This window comes from Homo sapiens, chromosome 19 (genome assembly GCF_000001405.40).
Source record: "Homo sapiens chromosome 19, GRCh38.p14 Primary Assembly".
Taxonomy (NCBI): Eukaryota; Metazoa; Chordata; class Mammalia; order Primates; family Hominidae; genus Homo; species Homo sapiens.
This window is the reverse complement of record NC_000019.10, coordinates 15,094,658-15,114,980: the sequence shown is the minus strand read 5'-3', so window position 1 is coordinate 15,114,980 and position 20,323 is coordinate 15,094,658. Positions and strand designations below refer to the sequence as shown.

At 52.9% G+C, this 20,323-nt stretch overlaps 1 protein-coding gene across 6 annotated transcripts, besides 3 other annotated features; it reads right to left on the bottom strand.

The window, feature by feature from the left end:
• Positions 1-6: 6 nt before the first annotated feature.
• Positions 7-7,580, bottom strand: SYDE1 (synapse defective Rho GTPase activating protein 1). Of its 6 annotated transcripts, none has more exons than NM_033025.6 (8): positions 7,460-7,580; positions 5,584-5,925; positions 4,633-5,277; positions 4,246-4,460; positions 3,542-3,668; positions 3,189-3,349; positions 2,410-2,635; positions 7-1,421 (listed from the first exon to the last, which is right to left on the bottom strand). In NM_033025.6, the coding sequence occupies exons 1-8, from the start codon at positions 7,545-7,547 to the stop codon at positions 1,018-1,020; spliced, it is 2,208 nt and encodes a 735-aa protein (NP_149014.3). In that variant the 5' UTR covers positions 7,548-7,580; the 3' UTR covers positions 7-1,017. The 6 variants fall into 6 exon arrangements, with proteins under 6 accessions (NP_149014.3, NP_001287839.1, XP_047295535.1 ...); NM_001300910.2 differs by having other exon boundaries at positions 5,584-5,724; XM_047439579.1 differs by having other exon boundaries at positions 4,633-5,925.
• Positions 2,016-2,541: an enhancer, noted in NCBI's record as "H3K4me1 hESC enhancer chr19:15223251-15223776 (GRCh37/hg19 assembly coordinates)". NCBI's record gives its function as "activates a minimal SCP1, AML or CMV promoter by ChIP-STARR-seq in naive H9 embryonic stem cells {active_cell/tissue: H9 hESC(naive)}" and the evidence as "EXISTENCE:reporter gene assay evidence [ECO:0000049][PMID:30033119]".
• Positions 2,542-3,069: an enhancer, noted in NCBI's record as "H3K4me1 hESC enhancer chr19:15222723-15223250 (GRCh37/hg19 assembly coordinates)". NCBI's record gives its function as "activates a minimal SCP1, AML or CMV promoter by ChIP-STARR-seq in primed H9 embryonic stem cells {active_cell/tissue: H9 hESC(primed)}" and the evidence as "EXISTENCE:reporter gene assay evidence [ECO:0000049][PMID:30033119]".
• Positions 5,344-5,894: an enhancer, noted in NCBI's record as "H3K4me1 hESC enhancer chr19:15219898-15220448 (GRCh37/hg19 assembly coordinates)". NCBI's record gives its function as "activates a minimal SCP1, AML or CMV promoter by ChIP-STARR-seq in naive H9 embryonic stem cells {active_cell/tissue: H9 hESC(naive)}" and the evidence as "EXISTENCE:reporter gene assay evidence [ECO:0000049][PMID:30033119]".
• Positions 7,581-20,323: the final 12,743 nt, after the last annotated feature.

Genomic DNA, 20,323 nt, shown 5'->3' with positions numbered 1-20,323 from the left:
CTCAGAACCTGTGCATATTTATTTATTATCCACAAAGATGGAGGTGCGGAAAAGAAGAGGGAGACAGGAGGGAACCGTACTCTCCCACTGGAACTCTGGGGCCCACTGAGGCACCATTATTGGGGATTTCAGGGTGGCTGGGCACTGCAAACTGCTCCCTCCTCTGTGGTCCCTGAAAGAGCCCCACACGCCTGCTTCAGACGTGTCCACGCACACCAGTCCTCACAGACACACACACACATGCATGGAGGCAATAAATATGTTCCGTACCAGACTGCCCCCAGCCTGACGCTTCAGGGGGCCCCCTCCAAAAGGGAGGGGTTTAAGTGCTCAATTTTTTTCGGGGGGGGGGGCAAGGGGGGGGCAAGGAGATGGGGATTGGAAAGGCCAGACTCTGTTATCTCCATTTGCTGACTAGAGGCCAATCGTGGGGACTTCCCCGGAAAAGGGTAGGGGAAACCAGCTGTTTCTCTATAAGCCCCAGGCTACCCCTGTGTCCATGCTGGAACCCAGGATAGGGGCTGCCCCCCACAAACAGTGCCTCATGCTAGTCTTTGTGTCGTCCAAGGGAGGGAGAAACAGTGCAGTGCTCAAAGCTAATACTGATTTGGTTGGCAGCAGCAAGAGGGCCGACTAGAGGTGACTCACCACACCAGGGTGATGCTCACAGTAACTGGTGTTGCCCCGGCCAAGGGGAGGCAAGAGAGGCCAGCCTAGCAAGCGCGAGAACTACCTTTTTGGCAACAAAAGGGGAAGCCCTTGGTGCTCAGGAAAGATGGTCACAACCGCTGGTCCCTAAAATCCCCAGGCCCCAGACTTGGCAACTAGTGTCCAAATACCGGGCCCTGGAAACTGGGAATGAGTCTCAGCCATACACGCGACTGGTCCCGTGGTAACTCGCTGGCAACCAGGAGCTCGGCCTGAGCAACAGGTCTGGCTCTCCTTGGTCACCAGGGCACCGCCTTAGCCACTGGGCGCCCGGTCCTTACTAACCGGGGTCCCACCCCGTCATCTGGCTCAGAGGCACACGTTGATTTGCTTGGAGAGCTCTCTCTCCAGATCCAGGATGAGGGCGTCGAAGTCTTTGAGATTCAGGTGCGGGTTGAAGGGCGCATCGAAGTCGTCTTCGAAGTCACCGGTGACCCTCGGCTCGCCGACCTCCTCGTCCTCGTCCTCGCTGTCACTGCCCGTCACGTGGTCGTAGTCTGGCCCGGACAGGAAATCCCGCCCACAGGGCAGGAAGTCCCGCCCGCAAACGCTCCAGTCGCCGGCGTAGCGGTTGCTCGGGGGGCTTTCGGGGCCTCCTCGACCGCGGGGCCGAGTCACCACTTCGGGGTCTGCCAGCGGCAGGTGCAGAGGTGGCTGTCGTTTGGGTCGCAAGTAAGGCGCGACATCTGGAGATTGTCGGGGCAGGCGGGGATCTGAAGGGAGACAGGGTAGGTCATAGAAAGAGGCGACAGCCGACCTCTGATTGGCTGCTTAGGGAACTAGGCTCCTGATTGGCCTGTGGAAAGCGGCCTTCGACCCTTTCAGGTTTTCACTGGCAGAGCTAGGACTGGTTGCTTACGCAACTAGGCCTCTGATTGGCATGTCAAGAGGCAGGGCCTCTGACTGCATCAAAGATGGGTAGGGGCAGGTCTGTGGATCATGCCTGGATCATGCCTGTAATCCCAGCACTTTGGGAGGCCTGAGGCAGGCGGATCACTTGAGGTCAGGAGTTCAAGACCAGCCTGGCCAACACCGTGAAGCCCCATCTCCACTAAAAATACAAAAATTAGCTAGGATTGGTAGTGCATGCCTGTAATCCCAGCACTTTGAGAGGCCTGAAATGGGTGGATCACTTGAGGTCAGGAGTTCAAGACCAGCCTGGCCAACACAGTGAAACCCTGCTCTACTTAAAATATAAAAATTAGCCAGGACTGGTGGTGCGTGCCTATAATCCCAGCTACTCGGGAGGCTGAGGTGGGAGAATCCCTTGAACCTGGGAGGCAGAGGTTGCAGTGAGCTGAGATCATGCCACCACACCCCAGCCTGGGCTAGAGAGCAAGACTCCATCTCAAAAAAAATAAAAAATAAAAATAAAAAGATGAATCAGCTCTGTGGGGCAAGGTGATTTGGTTTATAATCCCAGTACTTTGGGAGGCTGAGGCGGAAGGATGGCTTGAGATCATGCGTTTGAGACCAGCTTGGGCAATATAGAGAAACCCTGTCTTTACAAAAAAATGAAAATAAAAAAAGACAAAACAGACAGATTGGTTGGATCTGAACTGGTTGCTGAGGCAACCAGGTACCAGTTTACTCCATGAGGGGGCGTAGCTTCAAGCCTAAGACACTGATTGGTCCCTTAAGGTGGCATCACTGTAGCAGCCTGGCTCAGATTGGTGGTGCAGGCCCTGGGCATGAACTCACCTGGCCAAGACTGCAGCAGGTAGTGCAGCACCTCGATGTGGTGCTTGAAGTCCACTGCACTGGCAAGGCCTGGGCCGGAGCTGCGGGCACGAGGCCTTGTGGGCGCCTGGCGTGCCGGCAGCAGCACAGGCCCGAAGCACACGGCCAAGTTCTGTGGGGTCATGCGGTTGTAGGCATGGAAGGAGGAGACGAGGCGCAGGTGGTCCAGGAGAAGCGTCAGCGTGGCCTGGGAGAGGGTTGAGAGGATGTAAGTCAGACAAAGTCAGGCCCCTGTGGCACCTACCTGCAAGAGACTAAGGTGGCTAGAGTAGGGAAGCAGGTTCACAGTCTCATAGCTGGGATGTGGTCGGGTTAAGACTATTAATCATTAGATGTTAGTATTATGAGCCTATTTTGTTGGAGGGAAGACTGAAGCCAAAGGCAACTAAGCATTGGAAAAGCAGAGCTGCCATGAATCTCATTTTACAGATGAAGATATTGAAGCACAGAGAGGGATGGGACTTGTCTAGGTTCCCTCAGCCAGGAACCTCCCTTGTAGGTTGAAAGATCAGCGTTCAGCCTGCATTTTTGACACATCCTGGCTGTGTGACCTTGGGCAACTGTCACCTGCTTTGGGCCTCAGTTTCCAAATCTATGAAGTGGGATGCTAATAGCACCTATTTCTTGGGGATATGATGATGCTGCCAGCTCATGCCCATCTCAGGCCCAGGCATGGGTGAAACATTCTATTGGTATCAGCCCACTCTCAAGTCCCATCACTCCCACCAGGCCCAACTCACCCTTTCCACATCTGGCAGGCAGCTGAGGAGCCCTCGGGTGCCCTCAGTGGTGGGGGGAACTCTGTTTGGGGGGTCCCGGGCCATGGCCTCCAGTACCACCTTATACAGGGGCTGGGTGATGAGTGGGGTGGGCAACTCTCGAAGATAATCCTTGAGGATGCCTGTGAACACAGGGTCCCCTCTGGTCAGGGCACCACTGGCTTCTAAGGCTAAGGAGGGCACAGCTAAGGGGGAAGAGGAGGTGGGTGAAAGCAAGGTCAGATAGGAGGACTGAGGTCCCAGAGGAGCCCCAAGGCCTTGAAGTGAGGCATTGAATGGGGGTGAGCAGGCAGGGGAGAGGGGGCCATGCTGACCAGTGATGACATTGATATCGGGGTACAGGTCCTCAGATAGGCAGACCGCTGCACTGTCCCGCTCAAAGGCATCCCGAAGCTCTTTCTTCACTGCCGCTGAGCCACAAAGACGGTACAGTCCCACTACCTGGGGGTGGGAAGAGAGAGTGAATGTCTTCTTGCCGGGGCCACAGACTAATCAGGGCCCAGTGGGGTGAGCACTGGAATTCTGGGCCAGGCAGCAATGGGCATTGTGGGCTGGGAGGTTGGAACTACCTTGACAACCTGGCCTTGTAAACCCTCTGCTTGGACTACTTGTCTTGGCTGCCATCTCCTTTGACTTAGGAAACTGACACTTCTTTGAGGAGGCTTTCCATGACTACCCCAGGTTTTGTTTTAAGCTCTCCCAGACCCTAGGTACACCCCACCCCAACTCCAGTCCCAGTTATAGTTTTACATTTGTGAATGACTAGAGTCGTATCTTTTCCCCCATCAGACTCTGAGCCCCAGGAGGGCTTGGATCCTGTTTTTAAATCAATGGATGACCCATGGGTTCTGCCCAGGGTGCTACAGTCAAGGGGGCGCCTTCTGCCCTTGTCTAGGTTGGGATTGGAGCTAGGAGTGGCTCAGGCCTGGGGGTAGGGGTCTGGCATCTGTACATAGGGTGTCCTGAAGAGTGGTCTGAGGTCTGGGGGCCAGAGGGTTGGGGTGGGGTGGGTGCTCACCCGCAGCCCTCGGCGCTCGATCTGCCCAACGCACTTCTGGATGATGAGGGGCACCTGGCCGGGGGGCCGCTCCCGCTCCACCAGCAGTGGCAGGGGCAGCCCAAAGACGCGGGGCTCAGCTGTGGCAGGGGCTTCCTGCTGCTCCGACAGGGTCAGCTTGGCATACAGCAGCCCCTGAGGCTCCAGGCGCACGGCCAGCTGTTGGGCCTGGCACCCTGAGGACACAAGGGGGCCTGAGCCGGGTGTGCTCTGAAGCTTCATGTACCCTGGCCTCGCTGCTCCAGGCCACACCTTCCGCCCGGAGCCCAGCCCCCTAGGCACTCTGCGGGGGGTGGCGGTGGGGTTTGGGGGTCCCTGCCCCTCCTCCCCTGCAGCCGCATGTCCTACCTCGGAAGACCGTGGGCAGCAGCACGGTGCCCTGGGCACAGGGCCGGTGCCTTCTCACGCCAGGGTCCCACGCAAGCACCAGGGCGCGCAGGAGCCTGGCGGCCTCCAGCTCCAGGTGGAAGGTGTGGTCCAGCCGCAGGAAGTCCGGCCCCCCTCGCAGTGGCCCTGTTCGGGCCCTGGCCTCCCCATCCACTTGCAGTAGGCAGCAGAGGTCCCTGGGGGTGGCCCCCGGCGCTGGCCGCAGCCCCCCGAGACCGTACAGGTGCAGGCTGAGGCGGCCCCAGAGTGCGGCCGGGGGTGCCCGGGCTGCGGGACCCACCTCGTAGGGCCGGAAGGAGGTGGGTGATGGGGGCCCAGCTGGGCGCTCCGGTGAGTCCCCGTCGCTGAGGTAACCGGCCCTCGGGCTCCGGGTGCCCCCAGGCCCTGCTGCCGGCCCGGGGCCCCCCACGCTGCTGTCCAGGTGGTAGCGGCTGATGACGGAGCCCGCAGGGGCAGCCCTCTCGCGCTCCCTGCCAGCCCGGGGGCCTCGCAGGCTCAGGCGGCGCCGCAGTTCCGGCAGCTTCTTCATCTTTATGGAGAGGCGCCTGGCGGGGCCCGGGGACTTGGTGCGGGAGGCTTTGGTTGGGGGGCTGGCGGGGGCTGCACCTGTGTGGAGAGCAGACTTCAGGGTCCAGGAACCTGGGCTTAGGGGAGGGGGGTGAGGCTGGTGCTCCCCTGAAGGGAAGGAGTGTGAGGCTGGTGTTCCCCTGGCGGGGAGGAGGGTGTGAGGCTGATGCTCCTCTGGGAGCATCTGACGGGGTGGGGATGTGAGGCTGGTGCTCCCCTGAAGGGAAGGAGTGTGAGGTTGGTGCTCCTCTGGGAGGAGGGAGTGTGAGGCTGGTGCTACCCTGAAGGGAAGGGATGTGGAGCTGGTGCTCACCTTGGGGAAGGGGATGGGAAGCTTGTTCTTACCTTGGGGGGCCAGGCCCTCTGACTCAGCTGAGCCAGGCTGTGGCCCCGGGGGCTCAGGTGCTGGAGGTCTGGGGTCTTCCTCAGGGATGGGGTTGTACCAGATCTCGCCGGCGGGCTCCCCAGTGCCAGGTACCCCAGGCCCTAAAGAGGTGTCCTCAGCTGGCTTGGCCCCACCCAGCACCCATCGGCGGCTACTGGGCTCCAGGCTTTGCAGGTAGGCTCCCCGTGCAGGGCTCCTTGATGCCTCGGGGCTGGAGGGCCCCTCTGCTCCGGCCTGGGACCCTTCGGGAGCCTGGGGCTCTGGCTCTGGAGGGCTGGGCTCTGGGCGCTGGGCTGGGTGGCCTGGCAGAGAGCAAGGGGAGTGAGACCCACCCAGCCCCTCACTGCCTGCAGAGCAGCCCTGTGCAATTGATCAGTGGGTGGGATGCTGTGTACGGCCCTGGCCGGCCCCTGATAAGTCATGGTTCCTTGGATCCTGCTGTTTTGTTTGGAATAGGCAGCCACAGGCTAGCGATCTCAGTTATCAGCTTAGAGCACCCCCTACTCAGTCCCTGGCATCCCAAAAGGGGACTCCATCCCTGCAGCCTCAGGGTTCTAAGTCAGGCTTCCTGGGGCCCGTAGGTACTGCGTTCCAGTCTCCACTTCCTCTACCCTCTCAATAACCGTGGCATGGAGCTTTGCACCTGCGTGGCCTTGGGCAAGTCGCTTCCCTCTCTGAGGCTCAGTATCCTCCTGTGAAATGGGGGGATGTGATTTCCATGTCCAGGGAGGCTTCCAGGAGCCTTTTGGAAAAGTATACAGCCCACAGCAGGCACTACGTGCTCAGGAGTGAGGAGCTGGGTTTTCTATTCCCTGCAGCACAGTCACTCCCAGTCCCCTGCCCCTTTTACCCTCCCTCCTGTCTTCCAAACTCTGTCGCCATCCTGGGATGGGCCCTTGTCCCTCAGCCCAGGCCAGACCCCCCACGCTCAATGCTTTGGGACTTCCCCTTCCCTCCCTCCTCTCCTGTCTCATGTCCTGGGCTGTTTCCTGTGTGTGTTTGTGTTTGGGCATCTCTGTCCCTTCTCCCTTCCCTGGGAACATTGGGAATCTTTGGGAAGGCCTGGGGGGAAGGGGTACGTCCATGGAATGGTCTGGCCTTCCTCCTTTAACTCCTTCCTTCCTGGGTCCCCCTATCCCACGCAGCTGTTTCTCTAAGGTTTTTACTTGCTACCCTGCTGAACTCCTCCTCTGGCCACCTCTGATGTCCACCCTCTAGGGTCTCTGTTTGTAGCATAGTCCAAAGAGCTGTTTAAGTCGATGGCCCTGGGCACATGACCCAATTGCTCCGTGCCTCAGTTTCCCCATCTGTATAAAAGGGACAGTTTCCTGGGGCTAAGGCAGGCGCAGTTGCCGTCACTGTTAGTAGGTGGGAGGCGGAGGGGGCAGCTACTCTGATTGACGGGCCGCCCCTCTCTTTCCTTTGCAGGAGTACGCCTCCCATCTCCCATCCTGCGCCTCCAGGGCTCCCGATGCCCCTTGCCCAGCCCGACTGGGCCCCAGTGTCCCGGCCTCCCAGCCCCTCCTCCCCTCCACCCTCCAGGCCCTCAGTCGCGGCCCCATTTCCTGTCGTGGGCGAGGCCCCCTCCCGGGCCTCCCAAGGAGCCCGCAGCGCTGGCATCCCCGGCCAGCAGCACATAACGGTCCGCGCCCCCCTCCCTCCCAGCCCCTTCCTTCCAGGACCCCTACCCTCCCCTGGCTGGAGGCACCCCAGTCTGCAGCGGGGTGCGGGGGGCTCCCCCTGATCCCCCCCACCGTCTGTCCTCGGGGCCCTGGGACCCCGCTCCCAGGCCGGGTGGGGCTCGGCGCCCCCTGTTCCCCACCGATCTCCGCTTACCGCGCTCCTTGGCGTCCGACTTTTTCCGGGGAAGTTTCTCCCGGCCCCGCAGGCGGGAGAAGGTTTTCCTGAGTAGCGGCTCGGCCATGCTGCGGCCCGGGCCGGGCCGAGCCGAGTGCGCGCCCCGGGCTCCGGCCGCGCCGCCCCGCGCCCTCCCCGCCCCGCCCGGGCCTCCCCGCCCGCCCCCCGCCCCGCGCCAGCAGGAAGCACATTCCGGGAATGCTTGGCCCAAACTTTTTTTTTTTTTCCCCTTTCCCGCGGCCCGAGCGGGCGATGCTGGGAGATGTAGTTGCCTGGGGCCGGGAGGGGTTGGAATGGGGGCTCCGGGTGCCCGGATCCGCTCCAGCTTCGATGGGACGTGACGATCGTGGCGCAGGCCCGATCCCTTGTCTTCCACCTCACCCACCCTCCCTGGATGGGACTCTGGGTGATGGCATCCAGGAAGTTCTCTTGGGTCTGTCTCCAAATCGCAGCCTCCACGTATCCTCTCTCTCCTTGCCAGGTACTGCTTCAACCTGGTGCAAGCCGTAGTGTCATTCGTTTCAATGACCGTCCCCACTACCCACCCCACCCCAAGCTTCTTCCTTGGTCTCCCCATGCCACTCTTTCCCCACTCAATTCTCTCACCTCCAAATTCCAATTACTACTGCTGTTTGACAAACCATCCCCAAACGTAATGATGTAAAACAACCATGTCGTGATTGTGAAAGGAAAATAAATCTTGAGACCTCCAAATCACTGAGCCAAAAGGAAGAAGTCAAACTGGTAACTGTGTAGGACAAACCTGCCTCCCATTCTATTCCTAAGTAAGATAGCTACAAGGTTAAAAAAGCTAGCTGGGCGCGGTGGCTCACTCCTGTAATCCTAGCACTTTGGGAGGCTGAGGCGACGGATCACTTGAGGTCAGGAGTTCGAAACCAGGCTGGCCAACATGGTGAAACTCCATCTCTACTAAAAATATGAAAAAGAAAAAAAATTGGCCAGGCATGGTGGGTGGGCACTGGTAATCCCAGCTATTTGGGAGGCTGAGGCAGGAAAATTGCTTGAACACGGGAGGTGGAGGTTGCAGTGAATCAAAATTGCACCACTGCACTCTAGCCTGGTCATCAGAGCAAGATGCCGTCTAAAAAAAAAGAAGAAAAGAAAAGAAAAAAAAAGCTACATACCTCCCCCACAATTTGCCTACAAGGAAATTCCTTATGGATGAAGGACAGGCAGAACTCAAAATTGTCCCTCTGCTCACATGAGACAAACACATATCTGATCGCTTCCTTACCTATTTGTTTCACTAAGCCAGACTAAGGCATAAGTGACTATCTCTGTAAATTGCATATTCAGAAAGGCTAGTCAGAAACTCGAAAGAATGCAATTGTTTCTCTCTTATCCACCTATAACCTGGAAGCCTTCTCCCTACTTTTGAGTTGTCCTGCCTTCCCAGACCAAACCCATGTGCATCTTACATATATTGATTGCTGTCTCATGTCTCCCTAAAATATATAAAACTAGACCAAGGTGGAGTGCAGTGGTACCACCACAGCTCACTGCAGTCTCAGCCTCTTGGGCTCAAGTGATGCTCCTGCCTCAGCCTCCCGAGCAAGTGGGACTATAGGCATGTGTCACCATACCTGGCTAATTTCCCTACTTTTTGTAGAGATAGAGTCTCATCATGTTGCCCAGACTGGTCTCAAACTCCTGGGCTCGGCTGGGTGCGGTGGCTCACGCCTCTAATCCCAGCACTGTGGGAGGCCAAGGCGGGCGGATCACCTGAGGTTGGGAGTTCGAGACCAGCCTGACCAACATGGGGAAACCCCTTCTCTACTAAAAACACAAAATTAGCTGGGGGTGGTGGTGCATGCCTATAATCCCAGCTACTCGGGAGGCTGAGGCAGGAGAATCTCTTGAACCCGGGAGGCGGAGGTTGCAGGGAGCCAATATTGTGTCACTGCATTCCAGCCTGGGCAACAAGAGTGAAACTCCGTCTCAAAAAAACAAAACAAAAAAACAAAACAAAACAAAAAACCCTCCTGGTCTCAAGTGATCTGCCCGCCTTGGCCTACCAAGTAGCTAGGATTACAGACCTGAATCAAGGTAGTGGCCCTGACTACCCTAGTTTATGTTGTCAGGAGCTTCTAAGTCTGTGTCACAGGCATGTCCATAACCTTGGCAAAATAAGCTTTCTAAATTTATTGAGACTTATCTGAGATACCTTTTGGTTTACATGATGCTCACAGATGCTGTGGTTCAGTTTGGACAGGGGAGACTTAGGCTAGAGGGTGACTAAAAAATGGCAGGGTCCTGAGTCATCTGGAGGTGTCTTCACTCAGAGGTCTTGCAACTGACGCCAGCTGTTGCTGGGGCTGTGGACCAGGGTAGCTACACAGGCCTCTCCGTGTGGTTCGGGTTTCCTTCCAGCATGGTGGTCTTGGGGTAGTCAGACTTCTTAGACAGCCACCCAGCCCTCTAAAAGTGAACAAGGAAGAAGTTGCATCTCTTCTGACCCAGCCTTGAGTGTCATGCTGTGTCACTTCTGCCACCAGATTCAAGGAAAGGGGGCACAGATTATACCTCTCTACATGGGAGGCATGTCAAGGTGACATTGTACAAGTGGATGTAGGGTGGGAGATATTGTGGCCATCTGGGAAAATATAACCTGTCTTAGCCCTACATTTCATTCTCCATATATTACCCACAGTGGACTTAAAACTGAAATCAGATTGTGGCACCATCCTGCTGAATAGTGTTCCTATGACTGCTCACCTCACCTAGAATAAAATTCAGATTCCCAGCATGGTCTCACAAGACTTCCAGCCTCATCTCTTTGGCTGTCCCATTCACTCACCATGGCCTCCTTTCTGGTTCTCCTTCATATCAAGCTATTTCTGCCTCAGGTCCTTTGCACACATGGTTCCTTCTGCCTGGGAAGCCCTGGTTCTTCTGAGGCCACCTCTCTCTCATCCTTTAGGTCCAATGGCACCTTCTAGGGAGACCCTTTCTGTCCACCACCTCTGTCTAGTCAGTATCACATTACTCAGTTTCCTTTCTTCTAACACTTGCCACAACTTGAATTTAACAGTCCCAGTGGTTTGTTCTAGTTTATCTGCCTCCTCGTCCAGACTGGGTCTCCACCAAGTGATCAAGTGATGCTTGTCTATGTTGTTCACTGCTGAATATTCAGGTAGGAGATCAGGTGTCAGGTGATGGAGGTCTGTATAGGAGGGGGTGTCCAAGAGGCCTGGACGAGGAGGCTGTGTGTGTTTGGTTTTAATGTGTCTTTGTGTGGTTCTCTGTGTTTATTGTACTTGGAGTTTGTTGAGCTTTGTGGATATGTAGATTCATGTCTTTCATCAATTCTGGGCTTCTGGGAAGTTTTTTGGCCATTATTTCATCAAATATTATTATTATTATTTTTTGAGATGGAGTCTCACTCTGTTGCCCAGGCTGGAGTGCAGAGGCATGGTCTTGGCTCACTGCAACCTCTGCTTTCTGGGTTCAAGTGATTCTCCTGCCTCAACCTCTCAAGTAGGTGGGGTTACAGGTGCCTGTCACCATGCCCAGCTAATTTTTGTATTTTTAGTAGAGATGGGTTTTCGTCATGTTGGCCAGGCCGGTCTCAAATTTCTGACCTTAAGTGATCTGCCCACCTTGGCCTCCCAAAGTGCTGGGATTATAGGCATGAACCACCATACCCAGCCTCATCAAATATTCTTTCTGCTCCTTTCACTTCTCTCCTTCTGGGACTCTCATTATGCATATATTGGTATACTCATTATACAACTGTTGATATACAGTTCTCCTAGGTGCTGTTCACTTTTCTTGGATATGTGTGTTTGGGGGGCATCAGTCTGTAAAAGGGTGGAGTGCACCCTCCTCCCTATGAGATCCCTGCGCAGATGTCTTTGAGGCAGCTATTGACAATGGGGAAAGAAGTCAGGGGTCAAGACAATACCTGTTTACAAGTTGAGGGTAGAGGCTGCAGGACTAAGGTCCCAATGGGGTATTTCAGAGTCTCAGAGGAGCTGGGGTCTGACATGGGAGTGAGAGCAACCCTTAGCCCCACCCATATGACACCCACATACCACATAAATATTTATTATTATTATTTTGTGTAAATCTTTTTGAGTTTTTGTACTTTTCCTGTTGTCTTTATTTGCCTGCATGTAGCCTATTTAATTCACCATTGGCTCTGATTCTTTCTTAGCAATCAGAAATTTCCATAAGTGAGAACAGATTATCTGCAAATTGTATGTAATGAAATGGTTATGAATTCTAAGTTTCATAATGATGTTTGTATGCTTATTCCTGTGGATTTTGCTAGTTGCTGTACAGATTTTAGAGCCTGTATGCGTACATTTTCTTTTCTTTTCTTTTATAGAGACATAGTCTTGCTTTGTTGCCCAGGCTGGAGTGCAGTGGCACGATCTTGGCTTACTGCAACCTGTGACTCCCTGGTTTAAGCGATGCTGCTGCCTCAGCCTCCTGAGTAGCTGGGATTACAGGCACACACCACCACGTGCAGCTAATTTTTATATTTTTAGTAGAGATGGGGTTTCACCATGTTGGCCAGGATGGTCTCGATTTCCTGACCTTGTGATCCATCCACCTTGGCCTCCCAAAGAGCTGAGATTACAGGGGTCAGCCACCGTGCCTGGCCCATTTTCTTTTCTTTTAAAAAAATTTATTTTCATGGCCGGGCACTGTGGCTCATGCCTGTAATCCCAGCACTTTGGGAGGCTGAGGCGGGTGGATCACGAGGTCAGGAGTTCAAGACTAGCCTGGCCAAGATGGTGAAACCCCGTTTCTACTAAAAATATAAAAATTAGCTAGGCATGGTGGCAGGCACCTGTAATCCCAGCTACTCGGGAGGCTGAGGCAGGGGAATCGCTTGAACCCAGAGGGTAGAGGTTGGAGTGAGCCAAGATCGTGCCACTGCACTCCAGCCTGGGTGACTAAGACTCTGTCTCAAATTTTTTAAAAATTATTTTCATGTTATTTTTATTTACTTTATTATTATTATTTTATTTATTTTTCTTGCTCTGTTGCTCAGGCTGTAGTGCAGTGGCACTACCACAACTCACTGCACCCTCAACCTCCTAGGCTCAAGTGATGTTCCTGCCTCAGCCTCCCAAGCAACTGGAACTACAGGCATGTGCCACCATGCCACAGGCTGATTTTTCTATTTTTTTGTGGAGATAGGGTCTCATCATGTTGCCTAGACTGTTCTCAAACTTCTGGGCTCAAGTGATCTTCCCACTTTGGCCCCCCAAGTGGCTGGGATTACAGGTGTGAGCCACCGTGCTTGGCCTTATTATTTTTAGAGACATAATCTCCCTCTGTCACCCAAGCTGGTGTGCATTGGTGTGATCATAGCTCACTGCAGACTTGAACTTCTGGGTTCAAGCAATCCTCTTGCCTCAGCCTCCTGAGTGGCTAGGCCTATAGGCATGCACTGCCATACCCAGCTAGCTTTTAAATTTTTTTTGTAGAGACAGGATCTTGCTATGTTGCCCAGGCTGGTCTCAAACTCCTGACCTCAAGCGATCCTTCTTCCTTGGCCTCTCAAAGTGCTGGGATTACAGGTGTGAGCCACTGCACCTGGCCACGTGTGTGTTTTCTTTCCCCTAAATGTTCTCATTGGCTGCAGGTCTGATGTGCTGTGCTTTTGGTACCTGGTGGATTAACCAGCCCCAGACACATATAGACCAATTAGTTGAAAGACCAAAAGACCATTTCCTGTCAGTTTTGGGCAGAGCTCAGCACCTCTGTGGTAGTCAAGGGGAATTGATGGATAAATACCCCAGCTCCCTCACCCTTGTGTTGGATGATTGAGGTTCATGTTCTACACTGACCCCTAGTGTTCACCCACGGGATTGAGCTCCAGCTGTCCACTGTAGAAACCTGGTTATCAATACACTCTTTGCTGACTTCCTTCCCTTCCCTCTCCCACATATCCACCCCACTTACAGTATTTCCTGTTTATTTCCTAAATACTTGAATCCTTGTCTCAAGGTTGGCTTCTGGTGGACTCCAAACACAGACATTCTGTCTAGGCCTCTGTTTCATGTGCAAAGGGAATAATAAATTAGGCTGTTTTCAAGGCTATGGGCATGGGGCGTGGTTCTGTGGGGCTACATCTCCATTCTACCAGCTCCCTGGGGTGCTCAGTTCCTGGGGGATGGGAGATAGAGAAGGTTTTGGGGAGCAGGACCCAAGCTTCCTCCACCCGCTGTGGTCATTCCCATTTGTTTCCACACCTGAGGCTTGCGTCTATCTGGCATCTTCCAGGAGAAGAAGGTGAATACCTCAGCCTGCCTAGGCCTCCCTGGCTGGAAGTCAGACCTCAGAGGAACCAGCAAAGGGGTGGCTGCCCAGAGATATCCATCACAGTAGCATTCAGGAGCTGGAGGGAGAGGGGATGATTGTATATAATGAAATGGTTATGAATTCTGTTAGCATAAAGCAGCTTCCTGAGGCAGGGCACAGTCTCACCTGGGTGACAGTCAGTGGTACAGCATTGCTTGACCAGAGCCTCCCATTGACCCTTGGAAAAATCTGGCCAGACAGCTATAGAGCTGAAACTGAGGTGCAGGAGGGGTCCATAGTTGCTCCATGCCACCTCCAGAGTGGTCTCTGTTTATCAGCTGCAAGGCTGTGGAGCTTTCCTGCTGGCTAGGCCCCTGCACAGCCTCAGGGATAGACTCAGCAACTGGCCACTGCAGCCATGCCAAGAGCTCTCCAAGCTGGACATGGTGGTTCACACCTGTAGTCTCAGCTATTCTGGAGACTGAGGCAGGAGGATCACTTGAGCCCAGGAGTTTGAGGCTTCAATGAGCTATGACTGCACCACTGCCTCTAGCCTGGGCAACAGAGCGAGACCCTGTCTCTCCCCGTCTCTCTCTCTCTTTTTTTTTTTTTCTTGAGACAGGGTTTTCACTCTTGTTGCCCAGGCTGAAGTGCAGTGGCGCAATCTCGGCTCACTGAAACCTCCGCCTCCCAGATTCAAGCGATTCTCCTGCCTCAGCCTCCTGAGTAGCTGAGATTACAGGCGCCCACCACCATGCCTGGCTAGATTTTGTATTTTTTAGTAGAACTCCTGACCTTAAGTTATCTGCCCTCCTTGGCCTCCCAAAGTGCTGGGATTACAGGTGTGAGCCACCGTGCCCAGCTGAGGCCCTGTCTCTTAAACAAAGCTTATCTGATGTCCAGCTCCCAGACCTGGTGTGCTGGTGTGGACCCCCTAGACTCTACAGGCTGGGTGTACCAGAGGAAGCAGGAGCAGCCTGCAGAGAGGTGGCTGATCAGGTGAGGACAGGTGGCTGGGTGGGCAGGGCTTTGACAGAGATCCCACATCAGGCTTAGCTCCTGCCTCCTTCCTCCCATGCTTCTGGGCTCTCCTGCACATTCCAAAGTAAAGTCTAGCCCTTGTCTGGCTCCTGAAGAGTTGCCTTCAAGCTGGTGGAGTATCCTGTGTGATGAGAGTCTCTTTGTATACCTGGAGGTCACACCAGAGAGTTTATGCCAAAAACGTGTTTTATGGTGGAGGCCTTGGGCCTCACTGTGTCAGTTTGACCTCTCGAGGGGCTTGAGGCTGAGTAGCTAAGGTCAGTCACACAAATGGTCAGCCATACTATGTGGCTGTTATGGGCTAAATCAAGCTTGTTTAACCCGCCACCCACAGGCTGCATGTGGCCCAGGAAGGCTTTGAATGTGACCCAACACAAATTCGTAAACTTTCTTAAAACACTATGAGATTTTTTTTTTGCGATTTTTAGCTCATCAGCTATCTGTTAGTGTTAGTGTATTTTATGTGTGGCCCAAGACAATTCTTCTTCCAATGTGGTCCAGGGAAATGAAAAGATTGGACACCCATGGGCCAAATTATGTCCCCTTCAGTCCCTTGCCAAATTCCTATGTTGAAGTCTTAACTCCCGGTCCCTTAGAATGTGACTGTATTTGGAGATAGAGTCTTCTCTTCCTCTTTGGTCTCCCAAAGTGCTGGGATTACAGGTGTGAGCCACTGCTCCTGGCCATGTATGTATTTTCTTTCTTCCTTCCTTCCTTCCTTTCTTTCTTTCTCCTTCCTTCCTTCTTTCTTTCTTTCTTTCTCCCTCTCCTTCCTTTCTTCTTTCTTTCTCTCTCCTTCCTTCCTTCCTTTTCTTTCTTTCTTTCTCTCCTTCCTTCCTTCTTTCTTTCTCTCTCTCTACTTCCTTCCTTCCCCTTTCTTTCTTTCTCTTTCTTTCTTTCCTTCTTTCTTTCTTCTTTCTTTCCTTCTTTCTTTCTTCCCTTCCTTTCCTTCCCTTTCCCTTTCCCCTTCCCCTTCCCCTTTCCCTTTCCCTTTCCCTTTCCCTTCCCTTCCCTTCCCTTCCCTTCCCTTTCCCTTCCCTTTCTTTTCTTTTTCTATTTTTTTTTTCAGGGTCTCTCTCTGTCGCCCAGTCTGGAGTGCAGTGGTGCGATCTTACAGGCCTGTGCCACCACGCCCAGCTAATTTTTGTATTTGTAGTAGAGACAGGGTTTCACTATATTGGCCAGGCTGGTCTTGAACTCCTGACCTCAAGTGATCCCCCGACCTTGGCCTCCCAAAGTGCTGGGATTACAGGCATGAGCCGCCACACCCAGCCCCACATGTATGTATTTTTCTTCCTCCAATTTTCTTTCTCGTTGGCTGCAGGCCTGATACGCTGTGCTTTTGGTACCTGGTGGGTTAACCACCCGCAGGCACATACAGACCCATTCGTTGAAAGACAAAATGCAGGTGGAGGGACCGGTCAGGTTTGGGCAGAGCTCAGCACTTCTGTGGCAGTCATGGTGAGTTGGCGGAGAAATACCCCGGAGCTAGAGACAGAGGTAATTACGTTAAAATGACGTCTTTAGGGTGAGTCCTAATCCAGTAGGACTAGTGCCTTACGAGAAGAGGAAATTTGGATACAGATGTGTGCACACATAGAAGGAAGACAATGTGAAGTCTCAGGGAACAGCCAGCCACTTACAAGGCCTGGAGAGAAGCCACAGAACAACCCTACCAACGTAACTTGACCTTGAACTTCCAGCCTCCAGAACTATGAGAAAATAAATTTCTGTTGTTTAAGCCTCCCAGGCTGTGGTATTTTGTTATGGTAGTCCCAGGACACTAGTGATCCTCCATTATCTGCAGGGAACATGTTCCAAGATGCCCGGTAGATTCCTGAAACCGTGGGTAGTACAGAACCCTAGCTATACTGTGTTTTGTCGATCTCATAACTGCCATGGCTAGTAAGGGACTGATGGGTGGGGTGTTTACAGTGCAGATGTGCCAAACAAAGGGAGGATTGACATCCCAGCTGGGATGGAGTGGAATGGTGCAAGATTTCATCACACTACTCAGAATGGCACGCACTTTAAAACGTATGAGTTGTGGCCAGGCGCAGTGGCTCATGCCTGTAATCCCAGCACTTTGAGAGGCTGAGGTGGGCAAATCACCTGAGGTCAGGAGTTTGAGACCAGCCTGACCAACATGGTGAAACCCCATCTCTACTAAAAATGCAAAAAAATTAGCTGGGTGTGGTGGCGGGCACCTGTAGTCCCAGCTGCTCGGGAGGCTGAGGCAGGACAATTGCTTGAATGCAGGAGGTGGAGGTTGCAGTGAGCCAAGATTGTGCCACTGCACTCCAGCCTGGGTGACGGAGTGAGACTGTCTCAAAACCCAAAACCAAAAACGTATGAATTGCTAGCACAACAGGGTGACTGTAGTCAAAAATAATTTAATTGTACATTTGAAAATAACTTACAGAGCATAATCAGATTGTTTGTAAAACAAAAGATAAATGCTTGAGGGGATGGATACCCATTTTACCCTGATGTGTACATCCCTGTATCAAAATATGACATGTAATTCATAAATATATACACCTACTATGTACCCACAAAAAAACTTACTAATTGTTTATTTTTTTTTCTCTCTCTTTTTCTTTCTTTTTTTTTTTGAGATGGAGTCTCACTCTGTTGCCCAGGCTGGAGTGCAGTGGTGTGATTTTGGCTCACTGCAAGCTCTGCCTCCCAGGTTCACGCCATTCTCCTGTCTCAGCCTCCTGAGTAGCTGGGACTACAGCGCCCGCCACCACACCCAGCTATTTTTTTTGTATTTTTATTAGAGATGGGGTTTCACCATGTTAGCCAGGATGGTCTCAATCTCCTGACCTCGTGATCCGCCCGCCTCGGCCTCCCAAAGTGCTGGTATTACAGGCGTGAACCACCATGCCCAACCCAAAGTGTTTATTTCTCAAATTTTTCATTTAGTATTTTTGGACTGCTGTTGACAGCAGGTAACTGAAACCTCATGAAGAAGCGGGAACTATTGTAATACAGTGGCCAACCTCCAATAAGAACCCAGAACACCTCCCAGCACTTTGGGAGGCCGAGGCGGGTGGATCACGAGGTCAGGAGTTCAAGACCAGCCTGGCCAAGATGGTGAAACCCCATCTCTACTAAAAATACAAAAAATTAGCGGGGCATGGTGGTGGGCGCCTATAATCCCAGCTCCTCGGGAGGCTGAGGCAGAGAATTGCTTGAACCCTGGAGGCAGAGGTTTCAGTGAGCCGAGATCGCACCACTGCACTCCAGCCTGTGTGACAGAGAGAGACCCCGTTTCAAAAAAACAAAAACAAAAACAAAAAACAAACAAACAAAAACAACCCAGAACACCAAGGCTTGGGTCAGCTCCTTGGTTAGCAACACTCTGCACCTGTTGTTACACATTGTGGCTGTGAGAATTCAGCATTGTCTATGTCTGTACAACTCCACTGGGAGGGAACAGCTGGAAGCTCATGCCTGGTGTCTCCTAGATGCTGCTCTATCTGCCTTTTACCTTTGCAGATTTTTTTTTTTTAATGGGGGCCAGGTGTGGTGGCTTACACCTGTAATCCCGTTGCTTTGGGAGGCCAAGGAGGGAGGATCACTTGAGCCCAGGAGGCAGAAATTGCAGTGAGCTGTGATCACACCACTGCATCCCAGCCTGGGTGACAGAGCTAGATGCTGTCTCAAAAAAAAAAAAAAGGGGGGGGGGTTACTCTGTTGCCTCATCTGGAGTGCAGTTGTGCAATTCTAGCTCACTGCAACCTTGAACTCCTAGATCTGAGTGATCCTCCGACTTCAGCTTCCCAAGTAGCTGGGACTACAGGTGTGCATCACCACGCCTGGCTAATTTTTACAATTTTTTGTAGAGACAGGGTCTGGCCATGTTGCCCAGGCTGATCTCGAACTTCTGGCTTCAAGTGATCCTCCTGCCTCAGCAGAGTCCCAGTCCCACAAGGCACCTGAGTGTGGGACAGGCATAATTGAAGGTTGGGGGTATCAAAGGAGGAGTGCATCTCTCACTTAAAGTGTTGGGATTATAGGCATAAGCCACTGTGGCTGGCCCTTTGCAGATTTTAATCTGTATCTGTTTACTGCAATAAACCATGAGTATAATAACATTACTGAGTTCTGTGAGTCTTTCTAGCAAATCATTAAAGGTGAGGGATGCCTTTGGGATCCCCAGCCACAAAGGTTTACACAAACAAAACCACCTCCATTTCCTGCCAAGTTCCTGGCAAATGGACAGTTGGGAGGATTGTCCCAATCCATCTCTGCGAACTTCAGCCCAAATCTTAGTGAATCTTTCTTACACTTTCCAGAAAGTGGCCACTCCTGCTGGCTTGTCCGCTTTTCACTCCCCAGAGTCCCACACAGGGGCTGCTCCCTCCTCCCGGGACAGGCCTTGAGTTGCTCCAAGCTGCAGTGTGACCTTGGGCAAGTCACCCACCTGGGAGGCTACCAGCATCATGAGGGAGGGAGAGGCTGGGTTTTGAGGTCACACCAGCCTGGGCTGGATTCCCCCACTCTGCCCCAGATCTGGCATGTGGCCTTGGGGTGGTCACTTTTCGTCTCTGAGCCTCAGTTCCCGAATCTCCAGATTTGCTTTGAATCACCCAATAAAATTTCACATGGAGAGAAGGAAGTGTTCTTGTACTTTTTTTTTTTTTTTTTTTTGAGACAGAATCTTGCTGTGTCACCCAGGCTGGAGTGCAGTGGCACAATCTTGGCTCACTGCAACCTCCGCCTCCCAGGTTCAAGCGATTCTCCTGCCTTAGCCTTGAGTAGCTGGAGCTACAGGTGCATGCCACCACGCCTGGCTAGTTTTTGTATTTTTAGTAGAGATGGGGGCTTCACCATGTTGGCCAGGCTGGTCTCGAACTCCTGACCTCAGGTAATATACCCATCTTGGCCTCCCAAAGTGCTGGGATTACAGGCGTGAGCCACTGTGCCCGGTCTGTTCTTGTACTCTTAATATAGGCTTGGGCCGTGTGCAGTGGCTTACACCTGTAATCCCAGCGGTTTGGGAGCCAAGGTGGGAGGATGGCTTGAGGCCAGGAGTTCAAGACCGGAATAGGCCACATAGTGAGTCCTCGTCTCTATAAAAAAGTAAAAAAAATTAGCCATGTGTGGTGGTGCGTGCCTATAGCCCTAGCTACTCAGGAGGCTGAGGTGGGAGGATTGCTTGAGCCCAGGAGGTCGAGGCTGCATTCAGCCATGATCACACCACTGCACTCCAGCCTGGGCGACAGAGCGAGACCCTGTCTCAAAAAAAAAAAAAAAAAAAATTTACTGGATAAGATTGGCTCAAACCTCTTCCAGCATGCTTGCTAAGATTTTAGAGAATTTCCAGATTATTTTCTGTCTTTTGTTGTTGCTGAATTAAGGAGTCCCGCCATCTTGCTGGTTTTGCTCTGTGGGATGAGGCCCCTGGCTTCTTAATTTCAGCAGAGTCCCAGTCCCACAAGGCACCTGAGTGTGGGACAGGCATAACTGAAGGTTGGGGATATCAAAGGAGGAGTGCATCTCTCACTTAACCTT

What these genes read in the sequence shown, in the direction of transcription:
- SYDE1 (XM_047439579.1), bottom strand. Translation starts at nt 7,547, where the DNA reads ATGGCCGAGCCGCTACTCAGGAAAACCTTCTCCCGCCTGCGGGGCCGG. An exon ending in TCGAGCGCCGAGGGCTGCGG is followed by an intron (nt 3,669 to 4,245) that starts GTGAGCACCCAC and finishes TCCCACCCCCAG; the next exon opens with GTAGTGGGACTGTACCGTCT. An exon ending in CGATATCAATGTCATCACTG is followed by an intron (nt 3,350 to 3,541) that starts GTCAGCATGGCC and finishes CTGTGTTCACAG; the next exon opens with GCATCCTCAAGGATTATCTT.